Genomic DNA, 24,261 nt, shown 5'->3' with positions numbered 1-24,261 from the left:
CCTTTCTGAGCTTCTATCTGCTCTTCTGCAACATGGAGAATGAGCCATCAGAGCCGCTGCTGCAAGAACTACGCAGCACACGCATACACACATGAGCACACATTTGTGTATACTCATGCACACACATGTGCACATATGAGCACATGCACTCACACAAATGTACACAATGGCACATACGTACACATACTCAAATGTGCACACACACATGAGCACGCGTTTGTGTATACTCACGCACACACATGTGCACACATGAGCACATGCACTCACACAAATGTACACAATGGCACATGCGTACATATAACCAAATGTGCACACACACACACAAGCATGCACACACACACACACACACACACAGAGTCTGGCCTCAAGAGGGCCTTCAGCTATACGGTGCCTCTCATTAGTAAGAAAACAGTTGCAGAAAGCTCTGGATCACCGGATGCGGGAGCTGGCCTTCTCAAGATCTCTAGTCCTAAAGGGGCTATTCTCTGTGGCCTGGGCGTGGATTGGCCTCTCAGCTTCGTACTTGAGAGTGACTTCAGATGGGACGCTGACTCCTCCATGCTGAAGAAGACCCAACAACCAAGTTTGTAAAAAACTTTTCTGTTAAAAAAACAAAACAAAACACAAAGCATAACTTCTGACCCGAAAGGAAGCTGGCGATTGAGAAAAGACTGAGCCCCCGCATCCTTGATCAGGGCAGGATGAGGACAGAGTGATGAGCTTGGGTCACTCCCCAGGGACCGGCTGCCTCGGAAAATATGCCCTCCGCCTGTCACATTGGGCATGCAATATGAATCCCCTGACATGCCCCACGGGGACCCAGAATAGCTCGACTTTTCTCCTCTGCACCGTCTTTGGTGCTGGGCCTCGCCGCGTGGGTCGGCGTGTAGCCTCTTGAGCCTCGGTTTCCTGCTCTGGGAGCTGGGGCCAGTGACGGTCACCCGAGTGCCGAGTGCCTGCGCAGAGTGTTGCAGGCTTCCACAGGAGCATGTCTGGAAACCAGTGTGTGAGCTGCACACGCCTGCCCATCGCAGCTGAGGGCTCTGGCGAATAAGACACAGGCAGGTACCAGGCAGGTGGGTTGGGTTTCTTCCCCTCCATTTTTTTATTATTTTGAAAAATTTCAAACCCACAGAGGAGTCTCGAGAATAGTCTGACAAAACCTGTACAGCCTCCACCTCCACTCCCCTGCACCCCACCCCTTCTGCGTTCACTCTCATCACACACACCTATGCACACATATGGATTTTCCTGGGCCATTTGGAAGTTAGTTGTGGCATTTTCTCTCCAAATACTTCTCCCCTTCCTTCCTTCCTCCCTCCCTCCTTCCTTCTCCTTCCTTCCTCTTTCTTTCCTCCCTTCCTTCCTTCCTTTCCTTCCTTCCTCCCTCCCTCCCTCTCTCTTTCTTTCTTTCTTTCCTCCCTTCCTTTCTTTCTTTCTTTCTTTCTCTCTCTCTCTCTCTCTTTCTTTCTTTCTTTCTTTCTTTCATTCTCCCTCTCTCTCTCTCTCTCTTTCTTTCTTTCTAGATGGAGTCTCACTCTGTCACCCAGGCTGGAGTGCGGTGGCACAATCTCAGCTCACTGCAATCTCTGCCTGCCGGGTTCAAGCAATTCTCTGTCTCAGCCTCCTGAGTAACTAGGATTATAGGCACCCACCACCACACCCAGCTAATTTTTGTATTTTTAGTAGAGACAGGGTTTCACCATCTTGGCCAGGCTGGTCTCAAATTCCTGACCTGAGGTGATCCACCTGCCTCGGCCTCCCAAGGTGTTTTTTTTTTTTTTTTTTTCTTGAGACGGCGTCTCTCTTTGTCACCCAGGCTGGAGTGCAGTGGCCCGATCTCGACTCACTGCAAGCTCCACCTCCCGGGTTCACGCCATTCTCCTGCCTCAGCCTCCCGAGTAGCTGGGACTACAGGCGCCCGCCACCACGCCGGGCTAATTTTTTGCATTTTTAGTAGAGACGGGGTTTCACCACATTAGCTCGGATGGTCTCGATCTACTGACCTCGTGATCTGCCCACCTCAGCCTCCCAAAGTGCTGGGATTACAGGCATGAGCCACCGCGCCTGGCCTGCACTTGTTTCTTACAAGGACATTCACTATGCCATCCTGATACATACGAGCAGCAAGCCTGCAAGTTCAACCATTATGAGGGCTGCTACCAACTCCCACTCCATAACCAAGCCCCCCTGAGGGTCTCAGTGTCTTAGTGAGGTCCTAGCTGTTTCCTTTCTTTTTCTTTTTTCTTTTTATTTTATTTTCTTTTTTCTTTTCTTTTCTTTTTTTTTTTTTTGAGGTGGGGTCTCACTCTGTTGCCCAGGCTGGAGTGCAGCGACACGACCTGGGCTCACTGCAACCTCCGCCTCCCAGGCTCAAGCGATTCTCCTGCCTCAGCCTCCCCAGTAGCCACCGTGCCCAGCTAATTTTTATATTTTTAGTAGAGACAGGATTTCACCATGTTGGCCAGGCTGGTCTCGTGCTCCTGACCTCAGGTGATCCACCCGCCTTGGATTCCCAAAGTGCTGGGATTACAGGCGTGAGCCACTGTGCCCGGCTGCTTCCTTTCTTTTTATATGATTTCTTTTTATTGAGGTGAAATTCACATAACGTAAAATTAACCATTTTAAAGTGTACAATTCACCATGGCATTTAGTACCTTCCCCCAAACTCCCTTTATCAAGTTTCTAGACTTCTTCATCACCCCAAAAGAAAGCCCCTGACTCATGAAACAGTCACCCCTGTTCTCCTTTCCCAACCTCTGGCAACCTCCAATCTGCTTAGGCAGGGATTTTTCATAAGATCTCTTCTAAGTGTGGGGTTTTATTATTTAAAAATAGTTTACTACAAATTGGCCGGGTGCGGTGGCTCACGCCTGTAATCCCAGCACTTTGGGAGGCTGAGGCGGGCGGATCACGAGGTCAGGAGATGGAGACCATCCTGGCTAACACGGTGAAACCCCGTCTCTATTAAAAATACAAACAAATTAGCTGGGCGCAGTGGCAGGCGCCTGTAGTCCCAGCTACTGTGGAGGCTGAGGCAGGAGAATGGCATGAACCCGGGAGGCAGAGCTTGCAGTGAGCCAAGATAGCGCCACTGCAGTCCGGCCTGGGTGAGAGAGCAAGACTCCTTCTCAAAAAAAAAAAAAAAAAGACTTTATTACAAATTAAATGTGGAACTCCGCCATGTGTGTGCTTATTTTAGGGGAGGGAAGGGATGCTGTTTTTAAGTACTTCCAGCCTCTTCGCTGCAGCCGGGTGGCTGGACGTCTTCGGGCAAACCCTTTCTTTGCTTATTTTGCTTAGGTGACGATAAAGGGCTTGGAGGAAATCTTTGTTTTGTTTTGTTTTTGAGACAGGGTCTCATCCCATCACCCAGGCAGGAGTGCAGAGGTACGATCATGACTCACTGCAGCTTCGACCTCCCAGCCTCGAGCCATCCTCCCACCTCAGCCTCCTGAGCAGCTGGCATTACAGGTGCACACCGCTACACCTGGCTAATTTTTTAAAAAATTTTGTAGTGATGGGATCTCCCTATGCCCAGGCTGGTCTCAAACTCCTAGACTCAAGTGATCCTCCTGCCTCGGCCTGGCGAACTGCTGGGATTACAGGAGTGAGCCGCCACACCTGGCTGAGGAAATCCTCTTGAAGGTCCTTTCCAACCCTGGAATTCTGAGCTCATCTATTGCAAATGAGCTGGAGTGACACCCTCCAGACTCATACAAGCTTAGCCTCCGGGAATATCTGTCCGGCCTGCTGATCTCTGGCCAGGCCTGGGGGCAGCTGGACAGGGAGGGAAACCCTGTCCATGAGGCTTCTGCTCGCTGAGTGACCGCAGGCCATGCACTTGGCCTCTCGGAGTCTGCTCATGGTCCCCTTACCCACTGGTGGATCCTACAGCCAGGCAGGCTTCGTGGGCCTCTCACCTGTAAAACGGAACAACACCTGGCTCTCCGCCTTGCTGCAGGGATAACTGCAGGCCACTCCCCGGGGTGAGGCCTTGATACCTCCAAGTTGAGGCGAACAGACTGAATGTGACTCAACTGGAAGTCTCTGTCTTGACTCCCCGCCACCAGATACTGGCGGGTGACTTCCTCCCCTATGAGCCGCGGGATACTGGCGGGTGACTTCCTCTCCTATGAGCCGCCACTGGATACTGGCGGGTGACTTCCTCTCCTATGAGCCGCCGCTGGATACTGGCAGGTGACTTCCTCTCCTATGAGCTGCCACCGGATACTGGCGGGTGACTTCCTCTCCTATGAGCTGCCACCGGATACTGGCAGGTGACTTCCTCTCCTATCAGTGTTCTTGATACGGATAGGAGAGAAATACTGGCATTTACAAAGTCACAGTGATCATGCAAGTGGGGGACTCAGCATCTGGAAGCGGCCCCTGAAATGAAACCGCATGCAGGGGTCAGTTCCCGGAGTGTGTTCTGCTGTGGACCTTGAAGAAAGTTGTTGTTTATGGAAGCCCCATTAGCCCAAAACAGCCCTCAGCAGAAACAGGAACATCAGCCCATATGGGACCTCCCTGCCTGCGTCCCCTGCTGCCCCAAACACACCCCTTCTGCCCAGCTAGAAGCCCTGTTGCTAAGATACCACAGGGCTGGAAGAGATTCGAATTCCTTTTCTTTTTCTTTTCTTTTTTTTGAGACAGAGTCTCACTCTGTCACTCAGGCTGAAGTGCAGTGTCATGATCTCGGCTCACTGCAGCCTCTGTCTCCCAGATTTAAGCGATTCTCCTGCCTCAGCCTCCCGTGTAGCTGGGACCACAGGTGCCTGACACAATGCCCAGCTAAGTTTTTTTTTTTTTTCTGGAGACAGAGTCTTGCTCTATCAGCCAGGCTGAAGTGCAGTGGTGTGATCTTGACTCATTACAACCTCCGCCTCCCGGGCTTAAGCGATTCTCCTGCCTCAGTCTCCCAAGTAGCTGGGACTACAGGCACGCGCCACCACGCCCAGCTAATTTTTGTATTTTTTGTAGAGACGAGGTTTCACCATGTTGGCCAGGATGGTCTCAATCTCTTGACCTCGTGATCCGCCTACCTCGACCTCTCGAAGTGCTGAGATTACAGGTATGAGCCACCGTACCCGGCCATTTTTTTTTTTTTTTTAGTAAAGACGGGGTTTCACCATGTTGGCCAGGCTGGTCTCAAACTCCTGACCTCAGGTGATCTGTCCACCTTGGCCTCCCAAAGTGCTGGGATTACAGGTATGAGCCACTGTACCTGGCCTAATTTTCTCGACATGATGTGTGACCCATCAGAAGTGTCTGGAATGAGTTTGCAGGTGGGACGAATGATCAGTTTGGCAATGGAAGTCAAGGGAGGGCAGGAGGAAGGAGAGACGGGATGAACAAGGAAAGGATGGGCAAGGAGGCCAGTGAGTGCACAGCAATGTCAACACCTTCCAGTTCTTTTTTTTTTTTTTTCTTTTGAGACGGAGTCTGGCTCTGTCACCCAGGCTGCAGTGCAATGGCTCAATCTCGGCTCACCGCAACCTCTGCCTTCCGGGTTCAAGTGATTCTCCTGCCTCAGCCTCCCAAGTAGCTGGGATTACAGGTGCCCACCACCACGCCCGGCTAATTTTTGTATTTTTAGTAGAGACGGGGTTTCGCCATGTTGGCCAGACTGGTCTCAAACTCCTGACCTCAAGTGATCCACCCGCCTCGGCCTCCCAGAGTGCTGGGATTACAGGTGTGAGCCGCCGTGCCCGGCCCTTCCAGTTCTTTTAAATGATTCATCCAATATTTCTTGGCAGCGTCAAGTGCCAGGCTGGCTCCGTGCAGGACACCAGGGTCATGCCCGCAAACTGCGCACTTGTATCCTCACTTCCACAGAGCTTTGTCTGAAGAGGAGACATGTAGGGTCAATTTCCACCCCAAGACATGACGTCCAGGTACCACACAGCAGAGCAGGCGGAGCTGAGGGCTGCACTCAGAAGTGGGGGCTCTCTGGCTATCTTGCTAGAGTCAGCCCAGGGTCTCCAGTGACCACTCTGGGAAGCACATGGGCAGGTCATGGGGCCAAGGAATCGAAGAGTAGGGCCAAGCCCCTAGCTGAGGCTCCGAATTTGGTCAGGGCTCTTAACTTTTTGAAAGAGCAGCTGTTTGGGTTTTCCTTTTTTTTTTTTTTTTTTTTTTCAGTGGTGGATCACAGCTCACTGCAACCTCTGCCTCCCAGGCTCAAGTGATCCTTCCACCTCAGCATCACAAGTAGCTGGGACTACAGACTCACGCCACCACGCCCGACTAATTTTTGTATTTTCTGTAGAAATGGAGTTTCGCCATGTCCCCCGGGCTGGTCTTGAACTCCTGGGCTCAAGTGATCCACCTGCCTTGGCCTCCCAAAATGTTGGGATTACAGATGTGAGCCACTGTACCTGGCCTGGTTTTGCTTCTTTTTTAAAAAAATAAAAAGAGAGTAATGATTAAATAGCTTTGTGACTCAAATTCAGCTAGAACTGCATTCAAATCCCAACTCTGCTGTTTATTGGCTTTATTTGTGACTCTGGGCAAGGAGCAGTTTCTGAGCCTCACTTTGCCCCTCTTTAGAATGGGAGCTATGAGACCCAAATACCGTGAGGCATGTAAACTGCCCAGGACAGTTCTGGGCACTTGGTGTCAGCCATCACTACCACCACCACCATGGCCAGAGGATTTCAAGCACTCAGCAAATGGTGCTGGCCAGGCCTGTCCTGGGATTTCCTAACCATCTCGGACAGAAGAAAGAAAAAAGACATTGTGGAAAGGTGGCTGAGCTTTTGGAGAGAAAAGACCCTCCCTTTGGGCATGAAGTTTGAAGAGCCATCCACTTGTGGAGTCTGGGACTCATCCTTCTCCACGAAAGGTTTATGAAGCAGACAGAGGCCAGGGCTTCTGAGAATTTCCAACCTCGATATTTTCACTTTATGGTTTTTCACGAAGTCAGCATGAACACGGTTAATGTTTTCTCATTAAGCTACTTTTTGTTTTCTTTCAGTAGCTGACATTCAAAGCCTGGGCGCATTCTTTCACGACGTTGCTACTCTGACAGCTCAACACATTCGCGATGGGAACTCATATCTGTTTTGATGAGGGAGACCAGAGGGAAAAGAGCATTCACGTACAGAAATACCCTTTGTGGCTACTTCTGTCAGCTCCTGTCCTCACAGGTGAGAAAAGTAAGGCTCACAGCACAAGCAGGCCCTCCCAGCTAGGGGAGCTCACGTCCTGGGCCTTCTGAACCGGCAGTAAAGGGAGGGCTCCGACTCCAGCTTTGCTATGCCTCATGGTGCCTGCTGGTGGTGGTGCTTACACACCAGGAGCCCCTGTCCCGGGATAAGACACAGCACAGCCTGGATTTACAAGCCCCACTGTTTGGGTTCAAATTCCAACTTCACCACTAACAGGGTGTGCGACCTTGGGTCACTCGGCCACTTTTCTGGGGCCCCCATTTCCCTCCTGCTCCATGGGGAAGGGGGAATAGAATACCATGGGGGCTCTTGCGGAGATTTGAGCTGAGAACATCCATGTGTGCTCAGGCTCACCGCAGATGTCTGGAGGAAGCTGTGCTGCCCTTTGTGTGAACAGAAGCAGGGCAGCTTCCTGAATTCCACCCTTTACACAGGGCCAGGGCCTACCTGGGGGAGAGACGACAGGGCTCAGTAATTCCAAGAGCGGACATGCGCGAGATGCGTCTCCAAGAATGTTCTCCCCTGCATGGTCTGGCAGGGGACGTTGGAAACAACCTAAACGTCCAGCAATAGGGGACAACAGATTGTATCACTCAGATGTGCTGGTGTCAAAGGCTGTGCTAGGATATTTAATCCCAAGGAAAGTGTTTACAACTGAGTTGGTGGAAAGGAGGTTACAATTCAAATGATTTTTTTTTAAGATACATACATACTTTTTTTATTATTATTTATTTTTCAGTATCACTCTGTTGCCCAGGTTGGAGTGCAGCGGTGTGATCTTGGCTCACTGCAACCTCCGCTCCCTGGGTTCAAGCGATCCTTCCACCTCAGCCTCCACAGCAGCTGGGACTGCAAGCATGCGCCACCACACCCAGCTAATTTTTGTATTTTTAGTAGAGATGGGGTTTCACCATGTTGGCCAGGCTGGTCTTGAACTCCTGACCTCAGGTGATCCACCCACCTTGGCCTCCCAAAGTGCTGGGATTACAGGAGTGAGCCACCGCACCCAGCTGAATCTCATTTTTCAAGATGAAAAGAGTTCTGGAGATGGATGGTGGCGGTGATCCACACAGCTTTATGAATGTATTAATTCCTCTGAACTGTACATTTAGAAATGGTTAGGATGGTAAATTTTATGTTGTTTATGTTTCAACACAATAAAACAACTGGAAAAAAAGTATCTATTAATGCTTATTTAAAATTCAGACACAATTTACTTTAGAATTTAATAGAAATTGCTCTGAAAAAAATGCACCTTAATTTTAAGGGAACAGCTCTATTAGTTTTGATAAATGTCATTGCCTGTGTATTCACTACCACAATAAAGATAGAGAACATTTTCATCTTCCATTTATCCTTCTCTGCTTTTTTTTTTTTTTTTTTTTTTTTTTTTTTTTTGAGACAGAGTCTCTCTCTGTTGCCCAGGCTGGAGTACAGTGGTGCGATCTCGGCTCACTGCAACCTCTGCCTCCTGGGTTCAAGCAATGCTCCTGCGTTGGCCTCCCAAAGTGCTGGGATTACAGGCATGAGCCACCACGCCCAGCCTTCTATTTACCCTTTTCTAGTGGATCTCCATCCAGCTTTTTGTCACTATATATCTTTTTCTAGAGTTGCCATTAAATTTTAAAATAAGTAATAAATGTAGCAAAGATCGCCAGAGAGCAGCATTTACAACAGTAACAATAGCTACCCTTCTGTTATGTGCTTTACATGTGCCAGGCTGTCTCTATCTTACAAATATTGGTCACTTGATAGATGGGGATGTCTTTTCTAATGCTCGTATTAACCCTGTAAATTAGCGTTCCTTTTGCTGTTTTACAAATGAGGAAATGGAATCTCAAAGAGGTCTTCCTTCTACTCTGTCACAGTCTCTGCCAATTTCTGGGCTAGCTGGGTGGCCTCATTTCAGAATAACGATGCGTATGGGGGAAGAAATGGCTGTTGGTGAATCAGAAAGTCTTGGGGGAAATAATGCATGTTCTAGCAGGTTGTAGCAAAAATACTGGGCTGAGATTCAGGAGTCCCTGGGTCTCAGCCTCCAGTTGGCCAGGAACCAGCTGTGGGGCGTGGCCTCGATCACCTCAGTGTTCACAGCTCTCTCGGTCCCACGCTACCCTGCAGTTCTTATTTTCTGATAAAGACTTTTACCACACCCAGAAGTTTCTCCAATTACAAAATAATTTTCAATCACAAGGTGGGAGCAGGGGGTTTGGGAGGGGCTCTAGGGAGTGCTTATGTAGAAGAATGCACATTTGACAGCAAAACATACATTTCTAACTGTAAAATGAAAGGAAAACTATGATTTTCATAATGTAAAAATTGGAGGTGAAGCCGAATAAGATGTTCTTAGACACTGGGACACGGGTTTAGAAATGGTGGAAATCACTCATTTGCCATAATCAGGAAGAAGGAACCTCTACACCCTCAGATGGAAGAAGGAAGACTCCAGAAAAAGGATTTACGGTTCTACAGGGCAATTAAATAAAAAAATAAAAAATGAATTAAAAAAAAAAAGCTAACATCAAATCCAGAACAAAGCCAAGCCAAGCCCTTCTGGACACCTGGGCTGGAGACCCCCATACCCCTGCATGGGTGAGCGGGACATCCAGGTGCCTTGGACCCTACCTGCTACCCATTGCCCATGCCATTCAATGAATGAAACCCCACCTGGGCGATTCAGCCGGCTTAGCCACCCAGGGGCAAATCAAACACAACCTGAAAAGCAAAGTCAGCCCAATGCAGCACACAGGTGGCTTCAGAGGTCCCGGTGTGCACAGAACAGAGTGGGAGGAGGACCTCAGCCCTTGCCACACCTCTGCTCTCGCCAGGAGAGCCCCTTGCTGGCCAGCACTGCCTTGTCCTCTGCAGGCTTGGCTCCCTCTAACCACACACACCAGGGAGCCCAGCAAACACCCAAGATCGTGTGCCTGGCCCACCTGGGGCAAACCCTCGAGGCCCGGCAGTCCATCTCTGTAACCGTCAGCTACCTCACATGAGCAGGATCCATCCCCTAAGCTCTCAGAGCATTGCTGTGCCTGTGAGATGGCCGGCACACAGCTGACCTCAAGGCCTGCCATCAACACCTTCATGAGTGCTACATCCCAGGCCCTCTCTGTCCCCTCTTCCTTGTCACCCTCAGGACAAGCCTGAGAGCAAGCTGAGAGGGCAATGGGTCAGCGGTCCACGACCTACCCAGGGAGTGGCCGGGTGTGATCCATGCTACAGTGGGTCTGACCCCGGAGCCCCTGTCCCGGGATAAGACGCAGCACAGCCTGGATTTACGAGCCCCACTGTTTGGGTTCAAATTCCAACTTCACCACTAACAGAGTGTGCGACCTTGGGTTACTCGGCCACTTTTCTGGGGCCATTTCCCTCCTGCTCCATGGGGGAGGGAGGAATAGAATACTGTGGGGGCTCTTGTGGAGATTTGAGCTGAGAACCTCCATGAAGCGCTCAGAACAGGGGCTGGGGGACAGCAGCCGCCTTCCTCATTTCCCCACCTCCCTGATCGCATCAGCCACTCTCTTCCCCATGTCCCTGGAAGGGGCTGCAGAGGGGTAGGGGTGGAACCAGAGGCTGCCATCGCCCCCACCCGGTTTGGGTCGTGTCCCCCAGTGCAGCCTCTGCCATCGCCCTCAAGAGCATTTATCACGCATTTACCACGGATCTTTAAAACGAAAGCTGCAGGGGAGGGTAATTAAGTTTAATAGGAGCCGCCGTCGATTTAAAGCCACAGGGGGGAAGTAATTAGATTTAACAGAAGCCACGGCTTTCTGAACCAAGACACACAGCGTGGGGGTCCCTGGTCTAGAAAGCCTTCGGGATGATGTCTTTTTGTAAAGACTTTCCTGGTGACATTTGCTGCGCCCTCAGTCATTAACGCCAGTCACTGACTGGGGAATGAATGTGGCCTCTGCTCATTGAAATTCATTAGGCCTGGCATTTCTCTCGCTGTCTCTCCTGTTTGCCCTCCCCATCGCCTTTGCGCTGGGCCAGGAGGGCTCTGCCCCCAAAACCAGCCTCCTGGGGCCCCACATCCAGGAGCTGGGGGTTTGGAAGAATAACAAGAAATAATTAGAGTTAAACCAAAGCCCCGTAGGAGGACCCCTTTATTCCCCGCCTGGGTATTCTCTGGATGTCGTTTTCTTTATTGGCAGGAACCGCTTCATGGAGCGGCCCCCATTTCTTTCCTCACCTGGCACCTGCCCGGACGCCAGGGGCGCCCATCACCGTTCCTGGGCCCCTTCCCGACCCCTCCCCACCAGGTAAGGCGCTCTCGACCTCCCCGACCGTGCTGTTCCTCCTGACCCCGTGCGCAGGGACTCGGGGACTCAAAAACCAGACCCCCGACACAAGACAGCTCAAAAAACGGGAAACGGAGGCCCAGGCCTCCCTCCCTGCGCCCCTGCCTCCACCACCCTCCAGCCGAGAAGCTGGGGTTCACCAATCCCGCAGCTGGCCCGCCCACCCTGCCCGAGAGCCTCCTTCCCAGTGCCCCCTTTCAGGTTGCATCTCGCGCACAGCCGCGGGGCCGGGGCGAGCGCGGAGCAGGCAGGGGCGCGGGGCCAGGAGCGCAAAGCCCAGGCGGACGCCGAGGCTGCGGCGCCACCTACAGTCCGCGCGGCTTCCATTGTTTCCCCGCCGGCCGAGAGCGCGCCCGGCCCCCCGTCGGGGGGCAATTTACCCGGATAAAAGGGGCGGGGCAGGAATTGCAAGAAGATGAAGCTGAAAGAACCTGAGACTGTCGGAACTGCCGGGGAAAATTCTACGGGACGGCTTTGACGTCAGATGTGCGGGGCTGCGAAAGTCGGGGGAGGGAGTGCGAGTGGGCTTTTAAGGGGAAGGGCACTAAGGCCGAGGTGAGGCTTTTCCCGACAGAGGGTGAAGGGGGCAAAACTCGGTGCCCCCCAACCTCTGGCCCCGGGGTTCCTGACCCCGCCCCCGCTAGTGCCCCACGCCGAGTGCATCCACTGGGAGCCTGAGGCCTGGGGGAAGGGCCCCAGTTGTCGATTGCTTTACAAAGTCAAACTCTCCCAGCCAAGAACCTCGGGGCCGCTGCGCGGTGGGGAGGAGTTCCCCGAAACCCGGCCGCTAAGCGAGGCCTCCTCCTCCCGCAGATCCGAACGGCCTGGGCGGGGTCACCCCGGCTGGGACAAGAAGCCGCCGCCTGCCTGCCCGGGCCCGGGGAGGGGGCTGGGGCTGGGGCCGGAGGCGGGGTGTGAGTGGGTGTGTGCGGGGGGCGGAGGCTTGATGCAATCCCGATAAGAAATGCTCGGGTGTCTTGGGCACCTACCCGTGGGGCCCGTAAGGCGCTACTATATAAGGCTGCCGGCCCGGAGCCGCCGCGCCGTCAGAGCAGGAGCGCTGCGTCCAGGATCTAGGGCCACGACCATCCCAACCCGGCACTCACAGCCCCGCAGCGCATCCCGGTCGCCGCCCAGCCTCCCGCACCCCCATCGCCGGAGCTGCGCCGAGAGCCCCAGGGAGGTGCCATGCGGAGCGGGTGTGTGGTGGTCCACGTATGGATCCTGGCCGGCCTCTGGCTGGCCGTGGCCGGGCGCCCCCTCGCCTTCTCGGACGCGGGGCCCCACGTGCACTACGGCTGGGGCGACCCCATCCGCCTGCGGCACCTGTACACCTCCGGCCCCCACGGGCTCTCCAGCTGCTTCCTGCGCATCCGTGCCGACGGCGTCGTGGACTGCGCGCGGGGCCAGAGCGCGCACAGTGAGTGCCCGCCAGCACCCCCGCCCGCCCCGCCGCGCGCACCCCACCCCGCTGCGCGCGCCCCACCCCAGCGCCCTTCCTTCCTTTGCCACCCTTAGGCTCCTGCGGACCCCTCAACTCCTGGGAACCCCAGGTTTTGGCACCTGGACGTTAGGATCCCTCCGTTAGTCCCCAAACAGCGCGGGACGCTAGGGAGAAGCACAGGCTTGTGGACCGACCGCACCCACGTGGTGCGGGCCCAGCGGTCCTTGCTGCAGCTTCTCGCTTCCCCTGCGCCTAGGTTTGCTGGAGATCAAGGCAGTCGCTCTGCGGACCGTGGCCATCAAGGGCGTGCACAGCGTGCGGTACCTCTGCATGGGCGCCGACGGCAAGATGCAGGGGCTGGTAAGTGTCCCCACGGGGCGGATGCGCCGGGGCGGGGGACCGGCGCCTGTCCCCGGGCGGAGGCCTGAAGGAGAGAAAGGCGCTGGTTCGAATCCAGGGTTTCCTCGCCTCCTCCGCCCAGACCCGCGTGCAACTTCGAGGGAAAGATTGCAAAGACCGATTAAGTGCATGTCCGACGATTTCCTACGGAAATTTAGGGTCTCAGCCAGCAGCCAGAGAATAGGCAAAAGCTGCCTTTGCATTTCCAATTGAGTCAAAGGCCGGCCTAGCCGGACCGAGGAAACCCATTATTCGGCCTCCTTTGATATTAAACAGGAAAACCCACCTCGGGCCTTTTCAGCCTCTGCCTGCGCGTGTGTGGTCCTCGCCTCCGTTTCCCTCCCTCCAGTATAAAAGAAGAAAAAAAGAATGGGAAAGAAAAAAGAGGATCTACCCATAACTTTCCTTTAAAAACAAATCAATTGTCAAGCAAGGCAGAAAACAGTGCATTTGGGATAGGAGAGATTTTTTTTTTAGAATTAATTTTTAATCTACCAGGAGCACGGTGTGGCTTAGACGCAGATGCGCTGGAGTCATGTTGCGCCAGGGGAGTGCTTTTCCTCCTGCGGGCCTCACCTGTCCTGTAAACGCTTTCTGGTGGGGGCAGGGGGTGGGGGCTGGCAGGGAAGGCCCAGGTAACCGCAGAGGTCCCGGGGCCGGAAGTGTACGAGCGCTGGGGCTCTGGTGGCCGGGAACAAAGGCTGGGAGTTCAAAGGAACGAACCCGCGCCCCTCCCGCGGCCCCGCGCGCAGAGGAGGCTGTGTGAGGTCTCGGCCCGCGCAGGCCTCACACGCAGCCCCGGACTCCCTGGCGGAGCAGGGGCCAGGGCGGGGGTGGCCGCGCCTGCCCGGGGCCCCCACCCCAGAAAGGATGCAGAGGCGGGGCCGCCTCCGGCCCAACCAGCTCCTTTGTGAACAGCGGGACAAAGCATTTTAGAGTCTCAAAATTGCTCGGTGCCTCTGCCGTGCTCCGTGTACTCGGAGCGCCTGTTTCAGGTTTTATGGCGGAGTCCTGCGTGAGAGGACTGCAGAGAAAGGGGGTGGTCGGCACGCTGGACGCTGACTCCCACCCAGAGCCGCTCCAAACCCACCCTTGCAACTTTAATTTTGACATTTACTATGGCAGGGGGTGTGGGGGTTCCTAATGATGGGAGGCCAGCAGGGGACGTCAACCTAACCCGCCATTCTGCCCAAATTGGGGGTTGGGTCACCTGAAATCCCTCTGTGCCTTTTTTTTTTTTTTTTTTTTTTTTTTTTGGCAGAGTCTTGCTCTGTCGCCCAGGCTGGAATGCAGTGGCCAGATCTCGGCTCACTGCAACCTGTGCCTCCCAGGTTCAAGCGTTTCTGCTACCTCAGCCTCCCATGGAGCTGGGATTACAGGTACCCACCACCAAGCCCAGCTACCTTTTGTATTTTGGGTAGAGATGGGGTTTCACCATGTTGGTGGCCAGGCTGGTCTTGAACTCCCGACCTCAAGTGATCCGGCCGTCTCGGCCTCCCAAAGTGCTTTGGGATTAGAGGTGTGAGCCACCGCGCCCAGCCCCCTTTGTGCCTCTTGATCCCCTGTGCATGGTCTAACAGAAATTGAGGATCTTTTTTTTTTTTTTTTTTTTTTTGAGACGGAGTCTCGCTTGCTCTGTCGCCCAGGCTGGAGTACAGTGGTATGATCTTGGCTCACTGCAACCTCCACCTGCGGGGTTCAAGCAATTCTCCTGCCTCAGCCTCCCAAGTAGCTGGGATTACGGGCACCGTGCCACCATGACCGGCTAGTTTTTTTGTATTTTTAGTAGAGATGAGGTTTCACCATCCTGGCCAGGCTGGTCTCGAACTCCTGACATCACGATCTGCCTGCCTCAGCCGCCCAAAGTGCTGGGATTACAGGCATGAGCCACCTCGCCTGGCCTCTTTCTTAAATAAAAATGCCACATTCTTCTAGAAACTTGAAGTCATTTCGTTTTCTGTATGGAGAAAGTGATACTAATTTCTCCCAAAGGACAAGCCAAGTAAATAGAAGAAGGTCCTCCAATCATTCGGTTTTGTGTTCCTTGTTTATTGATCATTTGGCATTTTTGGGAGTTTGGGAGAAATCACGCTTGCTGTCCGATGCTTTGTCCCAGCCATCCGTGGGCTCGGCAGGAGCCTGGGTTGCTGCAATGAGCCTCTTATCAGGAGCTTATTAGCACAGGTACCTCGTCACCCACCTGCAGTTCAGTGACCTTTGCAGACTTAGGCAGGAACCTGACTGAGGCCGTCCTGCAGTGTGTTTACTGCCCAGCCCTTCCGGCTCCCGCCTGCGCCTGTCCTGGGTCGCCAAGGGGTAATGACACCGGTGTGGGATGGCACTTGCCCACTGGCACCTCTCAACCCCGTGGACTATGAATGTTCTAAGACAAGGCTTCCCTCAGCACACATTTCCGGCCACCAGCTGGGCGCCGGCCTGGCCTGGCCTGGCCTGGGGGAGGGGCTGCTGAGATCTGCCTCCTGGCAGCCTGCCTGGAAGGCCCTTGGTGACTGAATGGAGGAGACAGCGGGGCTGATGGTTCTCAGAACTGCTGCAGACCAGAAGGCCTTAGAATGATAAAGGCACACAGTGATTTCTGAGATAGGTGGGGAACAGATGCTTTCATCTGGGACCCAGATCGGATCACACGCAATTTATTTAAAAGACCTATCCTAAGATGACAACCCAGTTTATCAGTGTTTCCCAAAGTGCCAATGAAATACCCAGGAACTTTTTAAATGCCAGGAGTTATGTCTGTAATGTAAAGGGTGAGGGAAACACAGACGGCATTCCTGTGGGTTGATGGATATTATTGCTTAGGACAAGGCTCTCGAAAAAGTGAGGTAATTTAGTGGAAATTATTTGGGTCTATATAGAGTGTATATGTAGTATTAAGTATATACATAAAATATACATATATGAAATAATAAACCTCAGTTTTGTCTGTGTGCATGTATATCTATATAAAGATTATAATTTATAAAGGTATATAAATGTATATTTAATTTATTAATGGGTTATATATTAACATAATGTACATATTATATATGCTTACACTTACAGTACATTTATATATGTGTGTGTGTTCTCTGTGTATATATATAGTTGTGGGTTTTTTGTTTTGTTTTTTTTTGAGACAGGGTCTTGCTCTATCACCCAGACTAGAGTGCAGTGGCATGATCATTGCTCAGTGCAGCCTTGACTACCCAGCCTCAACCCATCCTCCCACCTCTCAGCCTCCCGAATAGCTGGGCCTACAGGCGCCCACCTCCATGACCTGCTAATGTTTGTACTTTTTGTCAAGATGGAATTTTACCATGTTGCCCAGGCTGGTCTCAAACTCCTGGATTCAGGTGATCCATCTGCTCTGGGCCTCCCAAAGTGCTGGGACTACAGGTGTGACCTACTGTGCCTGGCCTTAAAGTACATTATATATTATATATACTTACATATATAAAGGTATATTTTATATATACTTACACGTACAGTGTGTACATCAGGAAGTATGTATAAAACATGCAAGTGATGCTTATGTGGAAGGTCACTGCTGGTGGCCACCAGGGACAGTCTGTAGCACAAACGTCCATGTGGACCCGTGTTCCCTGTCCACTGTGGATTGCTCAGAGCTGCCTGTTTTCTCTGCAGCTTCAGTACTCGGAGGAAGACTGTGCTTTCGAGGAGGAGATCCGCCCAGATGGCTACAATGTGTACCGATCCGAGAAGCACCGCCTCCCGGTCTCCCTGAGCAGTGCCAAACAGCGGCAGCTGTACAAGAACAGAGGCTTTCTTCCACTCTCTCATTTCCTGCCCATGCTGCCCATGGTCCCAGAGGAGCCTGAGGACCTCAGGGGCCACTTGGAATCTGACATGTTCTCTTCGCCCCTGGAGACCGACAGCATGGACCCATTTGGGCTTGTCACCGGACTGGAGGCCGTGAGGAGTCCCAGCTTTGAGAAGTAACTGAGACCATGCCCGGGCCTCTTCACTGCTGCCAGGGGCTGTGGTACCTGCAGCGTGGGGGACGTGCTTCTACAAGAACAGTCCTGAGTCCACGTTCTGTTTAGCTTTAGGAAGAAACATCTAGAAGTTGTACATATTCAGAGTTTTCCATTGGCAGTGCCAGTTTCTAGCCAATAGACTTGTCTGATCATAACATTGTAAGCCTGTAGCTTGCCCAGCTGCTGCCTGGGCCCCCATTCTGCTCCCTCGAGGTTGCTGGACAAGCTGCTGCACTGTCTCAGTTCTGCTTGAATACCTCCATCGATGGGGAACTCACTTCCTTTGGAAAAATTCTTATGTCAAGCTGAAATTCTCTAATTTTTTCTCATCACTTCCCCAGGAGCAGCCAGAAGACAGGCAGTAGTTTTAATTTCAGGAACAGGTGATCCACTCTGTAAAACAGCAGGTAAATTTCACTCAACCCCATGTGGGAATTGATCTATATCTCTACTTCCAGGGACCATTTGCCCTTCCCAAATCCCTCCAGGCCAGAACTGACTGGAGCAGGCATGGCCCACCAGGCTTCAGGAGTAGGGGAAGCCTGGAGCCCCACTCCAGCCCTGGGACAACTTGAGAATTCCCCCTGAGGCCAGTTCTGTCATGGATGCTGTCCTGAGAATAACTTGCTGTCCCGGTGTCACCTGCTTCCATCTCCCAGCCCACCAGCCCTCTGCCCACCTCACATGCCTCCCCATGGATTGGGGCCTCCCAGGCCCCCCACCTTATGTCAACCTGCACTTCTTGTTCAAAAATCAGGAAAAGAAAAGATTTGAAGACCCCAAGTCTTGTCAATAACTTGCTGTGTGGAAGCAGCGGGGGAAGACCTAGAACCCTTTCCCCAGCACTTGGTTTTCCAACATGATATTTATGAGTAATTTATTTTGATATGTACATCTCTTATTTTCTTACATTATTTATGCCCCCAAATTATATTTATGTATGTAAGTGAGGTTTGTTTTGTATATTAAAATGGAGTTTGTTTGTATCAAAAGGTGCATTCTATTATCCGCCTAGAATGTTAGGGAGGGTGGGGAAGGGGCTGGTGGGGGGCAGCACCGTCCACGGGAGGAAACCCTCGGTGTGTCTGCCCTGGACACCAAAAGCTCGGGTGGGAAGTTAGCGGGTTTGGGCCAGCCAGCTCTAGTGGTGGAGGCTGGTTTGGGCCCTGCTGTCCTGCCCTTTCCTCATGCCTAGGGGCTTGGCTTCCTCAGTCCACCTTCTCTCTAGCAGTCTCAGTGGTTAGGGCGGCCTCTCTGCCAGGAGTGTTTTTGGCTGCAGGAAACAAACACCAAGGAACAGCGGCCTAAGTGAGGGCCTCTCGCCCTCAGCACTCTTCCCTGGGGAAAGACGTTCCTGCATTTAACAGTGCCCCCCCCACCCCCCACCATTAGATGCCTGTAGAAACCCTCAAGTTGTGACAACCAAAATACCTCCAGAAGTTGTTGCATGTTCTTAGGAGGCAAGATCACCCTTAACGGAGGACCACTGACCGGAGCAAATAGGATTTCTTTTTGTCCAGCCACAAATCCAGAGGGACCCAGTGACCCAGCGATGCCTGGGCTGTGCCCTGTGTGATTCCCTTGGTGTCCCTGTCCTGCTGGGGCCTCGTCTCGCCAGGGCTGCTGTGGCTTCAGCTGAGCGCCCTGTACTCAGGGAGAGGGAATCATTTCGGGCTGGGCCTCTCTCATCAAGAAAGCCAAAACTTCCTTAGAACCTTTCAGCAAATTCCGGCTACATCCTAAGAACCAGGTTTGCGTCACAGGACCAGGCCAGCCCCAGCTGCACGGCAGGCTGGGAAGGCAAGAATTAGCGGTCAGGGTGACCAGATGTGGGCCACATCCTGAGTGCAAGGAGGAGCAGGTGCAACCGGACACCAACGTGTGCATGAAACATGATTCCAAATGAGCATTTGCCAGGGATTAGGGATGGTGGAGGGAGTCGGGGAGGAGGGTTGGGTCACTCAGGGCAGTAGTTCCCAGGTGCTTACGTTGGCAGCGAGGGGGGTAATGTCGTTGTTCAAGTCTACGAAGGCTATTTCAGGTGAAGCCTCCCTGCTCTCCAGTAAAAGGGACCTCCACTTGTCATTCTCACTGATGACATGCCCAGGACATCTAGAGTTAACCCTTGGGGCGTTCCCTGTCTCCATCTGCCAATCAAGATGCCCCTCTCACTCTTTGGTGTCCTTGTCATGTAACCATGCTGATTAGAGAGCTGACAGGCAGGGCTGGATGATGCTTGTGGACACAGCCTTCTCTACCCGTGGCAGGCGCCAGACAGGAAAGGCACTCTCCTGGAGCCACACAGCCTGGAGGCAGCTCAGGGGCTGTGGGCAGGGCCCTTTGATTGCTGTGTGACCTTGAGTAAGTCACATCACCCCTCTGAGCCTGCATCCTTCTGCGGACATGAGGTTAACAGGGTCTGCATGGTAGGGCTATACAGAAATCCAGTGAAATGATGTCTGCGGGATTCCTGGCACAGAGCCGGCTGCCTATCCACAGCAAACCTCACCAAGGATAGAACCATGTGTCCTGAGCTATTATGTCCACTGGATCTCAAATTTGGCTGCACATTGAAAAAAAGATGATAGCTGGAAACCACTCATGGAGATTCTGAGTTTTTTGTCTTTCTTTCTTTCTTTCTTTCTTTCTTTCTTTCTTTCTTTCTTTCTTTCTTTCTTTCTTTCTTTCTTTTTCTTTTTTTTTAGACAGTCTCACTCTGTCATCCAGGCTGGAGTACAGTGCACAATCACTGATCACTGCAGTCTTGACCTCCTGGGCTCAAGGGATCCTGCTGCCTCAGCCTCTCAAGTAGCTGGGACCACAGACCCATGCCCAGCTCATTTTTTTTTTTTTAATTTGTAGCAATGGGGTCTTGCTATGTTGCACAGGCTGGTCTCGATCTCTTGGGCTCCAGAGGTCCTCCTGCCTTAACCTCCCAAAGTGCTGAGATTATAGGTATGAGCCACCGTGCCCAGCTGAGATTGTGATTTAATGGGAATGGGTGTGGTCTGGACACTGGGATTTTTTAAAAGCTCCCCTGTGGGCCGGGTGCGGTGGCTCACACCTATAATCCCAGCACTTTGGGAGGCCGAGGTGGGTGAATCATGAGGTCAGGAGATTGAGAACATCCTGGCTAACACAGTGAAACCCCATCTCTACTAAAAATACAAAAAATTAGCCAGGCATGGTGGCAGGCGCCTGTGGTCCCAGCTACTTGGGAGGCTGAGGCAGGAGAATGGCATGAACCCGGGAGGCAGAGCTTGCAGTGAGCCGAGATTGCACCACTGCCCTCCAGCCGGGGCGGCAGAGCAAGACTCCTTCTCAAAAAAAAAAAAAAATCTCCCCTGTGGTTCTAGTGTGCAGGGAACCAGTTCAAATTCCATCCTTTGTGCTCTGAAGACCAGCACTTCAGGGAGAAAATGAAGAAAGAGGCTTATCAGCACCTCCCTCTCTGGAGTCTTCTCCCTTCTGCACAGCTGAGGATAACAAGTGAATGTACGTAAACTAATTCACACTAGACTGTTGATGGTTAATATGTTTGCTCTCCAGGCCACATTTTTACTGACCTGGCAGCTGCAAAACCCTGATGACAGACCGTGGGTGATGCGGGCATTCTGGCAGGAGATGGGGAAGATTATTTTTCTGAGGCTGCATCTTAGCATCCACCCTACCCCGACTCTTCCCCTACTCCTCATAAAGAGGTAGCCTTGCCCTCTTCCTGCATCCCCTCTCCCTGCTTTAGATAGCGTTGCCAAATACATAAAAATACAGCATCTGAGCTACATTTGAATTTCAGGTGAGCAATGCATTTCTTCAGTAGGAATGTGTCCCATGCAATATTTGGAACATATGTATACTAAAAAGTTATTCATTGCTGATTTCAAATTCAAATCAAATCGGGTGTCCTGTGTTTTGTCTGGCAAGCCGAGCTTTAGGCCCACACCACGGACATGGAGTTAAAAATGAGAGAAGACTGGAGCAAAAAACTGTTTCCGTTGAACAAGACTCTCTGCTGGTGAGACTCCAAAATGGAATTCAAAAGATCCCAGGGACAGGGAGGCCTTGAGTGAATCCCACTCTTTCTTCGGGCCTGTTTCTCCATCTGTAAAGCGAGAACCTTTTCGTCGCCTCAAGGCCTGTTGACTCCTGGGGATTCTGGCAAAGTGCCCAGGGGCTGGGAAAGGCCTCTTAACCAAGGAGGGGGCTGGAACCCGCCACCCCGGCATTAGGACTCTTGTGGTCGCAGGTGACAGAAAACACAACTCAAACTGACTTGAGGTAGGAAAAACAAGGGAACTTATTGGCTCACCTTTACTGAGAAGGCCAGGAGGTGCCGGGCTTTAGGCATGCGGGACCTGGGAACCGGCACCACACCAGGCATCATCTGTCTGTCTGTCCATTTTCAAGCATCTTTTCCCTTTGTAGTGACAAGATGGCCCCAGCAGCCTCAGCCGAGATGATGGACAATTCTCTTCTCTTACCAACAACTCCAGCAAGAGCCCCAGACTGGGTCTCAGGGATCCTTCCTGTGTCCCTTGTTCGTCCCAACTGGGCACAGGAGGCTCTGACCAGCTGGGCTGTGTCCCCTTCTGTAGCCCGGGGAAAAATCAGCCCTCGTGGGATGCTAGGACTAAGAAGGGGAGAGACATTTCCCCAGAGGAAAACCCACGGCACAGGTATTCCCCCAGGTTCCTACAGTTCACTATCCACTGGGCGACCTTCCCTCTTTGGATTGGGAAATGACAGCCAAAAATGTTCTACAAGACCAAAGAGGAGAGGGAGTGGGTGGGGCAGGGCCACCCAGATGCAGAAATTGTCCATTCAGTTATGGAGGACATGAGACAGCATCCTGCCTGCCTTAGTCTCATACTCCCTCCCCCACTGTCAAGGTGACCAAAAAGGAACCTCAATTAGGGGAGCGAGGAGAGAAGGTGTACCTTTTGCCACTAGAGGCAAAGAAAGAGAGACAGACAGACAGACACTGAGTTTTACAATACAGCCATGCGCCCCATAATGATGTTTCAGTTAACGGTGGACCACATATACAATGGTGGTCCCATAACATTAAAACTCCATATTTTTACTATGCCTTTTCTATGTTTTTAGATATGTTTAGATACACAAATACTTACCATTGTGCAACCTTTGCCTGCAGTGTTCAGAGCAGTACCGTGCTGTGCAGGTGTATAGCCTAGGAGCAATCAGCTGTACCACATAGCCCAGGTGTGCAGCAGGCGACACCATCTAGGGTTGTGCGAGCACACTCTATAATGTTCGCACAATGGTGAAATCACCCAGCGATGCATTTCTGAGGACGTACCCCATTGTTAGCATTGCATGGTTGTGTACATACATGACTGCCTGCATAAGGCACCACGGTCTGAGGCTATCAACAGCTCAACATTTTGAGTGAAATGCAAGAGCGTTACCTTTACTTAGGTCTCTTTCTCTCTCCACTTTTAAATTATCATTAAGTCTTTCCTCTGCCTATATTGGGCACCACATCAGATGCCATGATTTTTGGTGTCAGGCATCAAAGATGATTGTTAAAATGCGTAAGAAGGACAATCTTGTATTTTTACCCCTATTTTTAATCAGTCCGATATTCTTCTTTCCTTTCTGAACTTCAAAGCCTATTTAGAGAACTTCCTTTGAACATTTTCTTTTCTTTTCTTTTCTTTTTTTTTTTTTTTTTTTTAAGATGGAGTCTCACTGTGTCACCCAGGCTGGAGTGCAGTGGCACAATCTCAGCTCACTACAGTCTCTGCATTCCTGGGCTCAAGAGATCCTCCCACCTTATCCTCCAGAGTAGCTGGGGCCACAGGCACATACTACCATGCCTGGCTAATTTTGTTCAGAGATGAGGTTTCCCTATGTTTCCCAAGCTGGTCTTGAACTCCTGGAATCAAGCGATCCTTCCACCTTGACCTCCTAAACTACTGGGATTGCAGGCATGAGCCACTGCACCCAACCCTTCAGGCTGGAGTGCGATGGCGTGATCTCAGTTCACTGCAACCTCCGCTCCCTGGGTTCAAGCGATTCTCCTGCCTCAGCCTCCTGAGTAGCTGGGATTACAAGTGCCTGCCACTGAGCTTGGCTAATTTTTGTATTTTTTTTGTACAGATGAGGTTTCACTATCTTGGCCAGGCTGGTCTTGAACTCCTGACCTCGTGATCCACCTCCCTCGGCCTCCCAGAGTGCTGGGATTACAGGCGTGAGCCACCATGCCCAGCCCCCTTCAACCATTTTTTAAACAATAAGTTTGCTAGCAACAACTTCTCTTAGTTTTCCTTCATCTGAGAATATCTGAATTTTCTCTTCAACCCTGAAGGATATTTTCAGAAAGTTCTTCCCCCTTCCCTGCTTTCTACGTATTTGAAAGATGTGCCACTTCCTCTAGCTTCCATGATTTCCAATGAGAAATCCACTGTTGTTCCAACTGGTGTTCCCTATGAGTAAAGGGTCATTTCTCTCTGAGCATTTTTGAGAGTTTGTCTTAAGTTTTCATAAGTTTAACTATGATGTGTCTTGCCATGTATTTCTTTGTTTTGTTCCTATTTGGGGTTGGTTCAGCTTCTTGAATTTGTAGGTTTATGTCTTTCACCAAATTGGGGAAGTTTTCAGCCTCTATTTTTCTGGCTACTTTTTCAGCCCCACTCTTCTATCTTCTCCTTCTGAGACTCCCATGATAGGAATTTTCACTGTTTTGCTGTTGTTCCATAGGCCCTGGGACTGCTCATTTTCTTTCTGGTCTGCTTTCTCCCTGTGGTTCATTACCACAACTTCTGCACTGCTGCATTTTTTTTGATCACTCTGTTCTCAAGTTCACTGACTTCATCCCCCTCATCTCTACTTGACTGTTGAGCCCATCCAGAAAGGTTTTGTTGTTGTTATTGTTATTGGGTTTTTGTGTGTGTGTGTGATTGTTGTTGTTTTTGAGACGG

The 24,261-nt window shown here is 51.7% G+C and overlaps 1 protein-coding gene across 1 annotated transcript, besides 10 other annotated features; it reads left to right on the top strand.

Annotated features, from left to right (window-relative positions):
* Positions 4,054-4,254: a silencer, noted in NCBI's record as "peak1327 fragment used in MPRA reporter construct". NCBI's record gives its function as "represses an SCP1 promoter by STARR-seq MPRAs in K562 erythroleukemia cells {active_cell/tissue: K562}" and the evidence as "EXISTENCE:reporter gene assay evidence [ECO:0000049][PMID:32103011]".
* Positions 9,579-10,208: an enhancer, noted in NCBI's record as "H3K4me1 hESC enhancer chr11:69521101-69521730 (GRCh37/hg19 assembly coordinates)". NCBI's record gives its function as "activates a minimal SCP1, AML or CMV promoter by ChIP-STARR-seq in primed H9 embryonic stem cells {active_cell/tissue: H9 hESC(primed)}" and the evidence as "EXISTENCE:reporter gene assay evidence [ECO:0000049][PMID:30033119]".
* Positions 10,249-12,446: a promoter, noted in NCBI's record as "-1954 to +244 promoter fragment". NCBI's record gives the evidence for it as "EXISTENCE:reporter gene assay evidence [ECO:0000049][PMID:17696253]".
* Positions 10,332-10,382: a protein binding site, noted in NCBI's record as "FXR site P1". NCBI's record gives its function as "positive regulation of transcription" and the evidence as "EXISTENCE:protein binding evidence [ECO:0000024][PMID:22561792]".
* Positions 10,748-11,110: an enhancer, noted in NCBI's record as "RC13". NCBI's record gives its function as "enhancer in hindbrain, spinal cord" and the evidence as "EXISTENCE:transgenic organism evidence [ECO:0001131][PMID:16930954]".
* Positions 10,767-10,822: a protein binding site, noted in NCBI's record as "FXR site P2". NCBI's record gives its function as "positive regulation of transcription" and the evidence as "EXISTENCE:protein binding evidence [ECO:0000024][PMID:22561792]".
* Positions 12,298-12,337: a protein binding site, noted in NCBI's record as "FXR site P4". NCBI's record gives its function as "positive regulation of transcription" and the evidence as "EXISTENCE:protein binding evidence [ECO:0000024][PMID:22561792]".
* Positions 12,414-12,434: a protein binding site, noted in NCBI's record as "AARE". NCBI's record gives the evidence for it as "EXISTENCE:protein binding evidence [ECO:0000024][PMID:23205607]".
* FGF19 (fibroblast growth factor 19) lies at positions 12,519-18,303 on the top strand. The gene is made up of 3 exons (NM_005117.3): positions 12,519-12,896; positions 13,177-13,280; positions 16,965-18,303. Exons 1-3 carry the CDS (start codon positions 12,665-12,667, stop codon positions 17,277-17,279), a joined length of 651 nt encoding a protein of 216 aa, NP_005108.1. The 5' UTR covers positions 12,519-12,664; the 3' UTR covers positions 17,280-18,303.
* Positions 15,248-16,200: an enhancer, noted in NCBI's record as "OCT4-NANOG-H3K27ac-H3K4me1 hESC enhancer chr11:69515109-69516061 (GRCh37/hg19 assembly coordinates)". NCBI's record gives its function as "activates a minimal SCP1, AML or CMV promoter by ChIP-STARR-seq in naive H9 embryonic stem cells {active_cell/tissue: H9 hESC(naive)}" and the evidence as "EXISTENCE:reporter gene assay evidence [ECO:0000049][PMID:30033119]".
* Positions 16,966-17,260: a silencer, noted in NCBI's record as "tiled region #8818; HepG2 Repressive non-DNase unmatched - State 4:PromP". NCBI's record gives its function as "represses a minimal TATA promoter and a strong SV40 promoter by Sharpr-MPRA in HepG2 cells {active_cell/tissue: HepG2}" and the evidence as "EXISTENCE:reporter gene assay evidence [ECO:0000049][PMID:27701403]".
* Positions 18,304-24,261: the final 5,958 nt, after the last annotated feature.

The sequence above is a fragment of the Homo sapiens genome, chromosome 11, assembly GCF_000001405.40.
Source record: "Homo sapiens chromosome 11, GRCh38.p14 Primary Assembly".
In the NCBI taxonomy this organism is placed as follows: domain Eukaryota; kingdom Metazoa; phylum Chordata; class Mammalia; order Primates; family Hominidae; genus Homo; species Homo sapiens.
The sequence above is the reverse complement of the archived record's forward strand: the minus strand, read 5'-3'. Positions and strand labels throughout refer to the sequence as shown.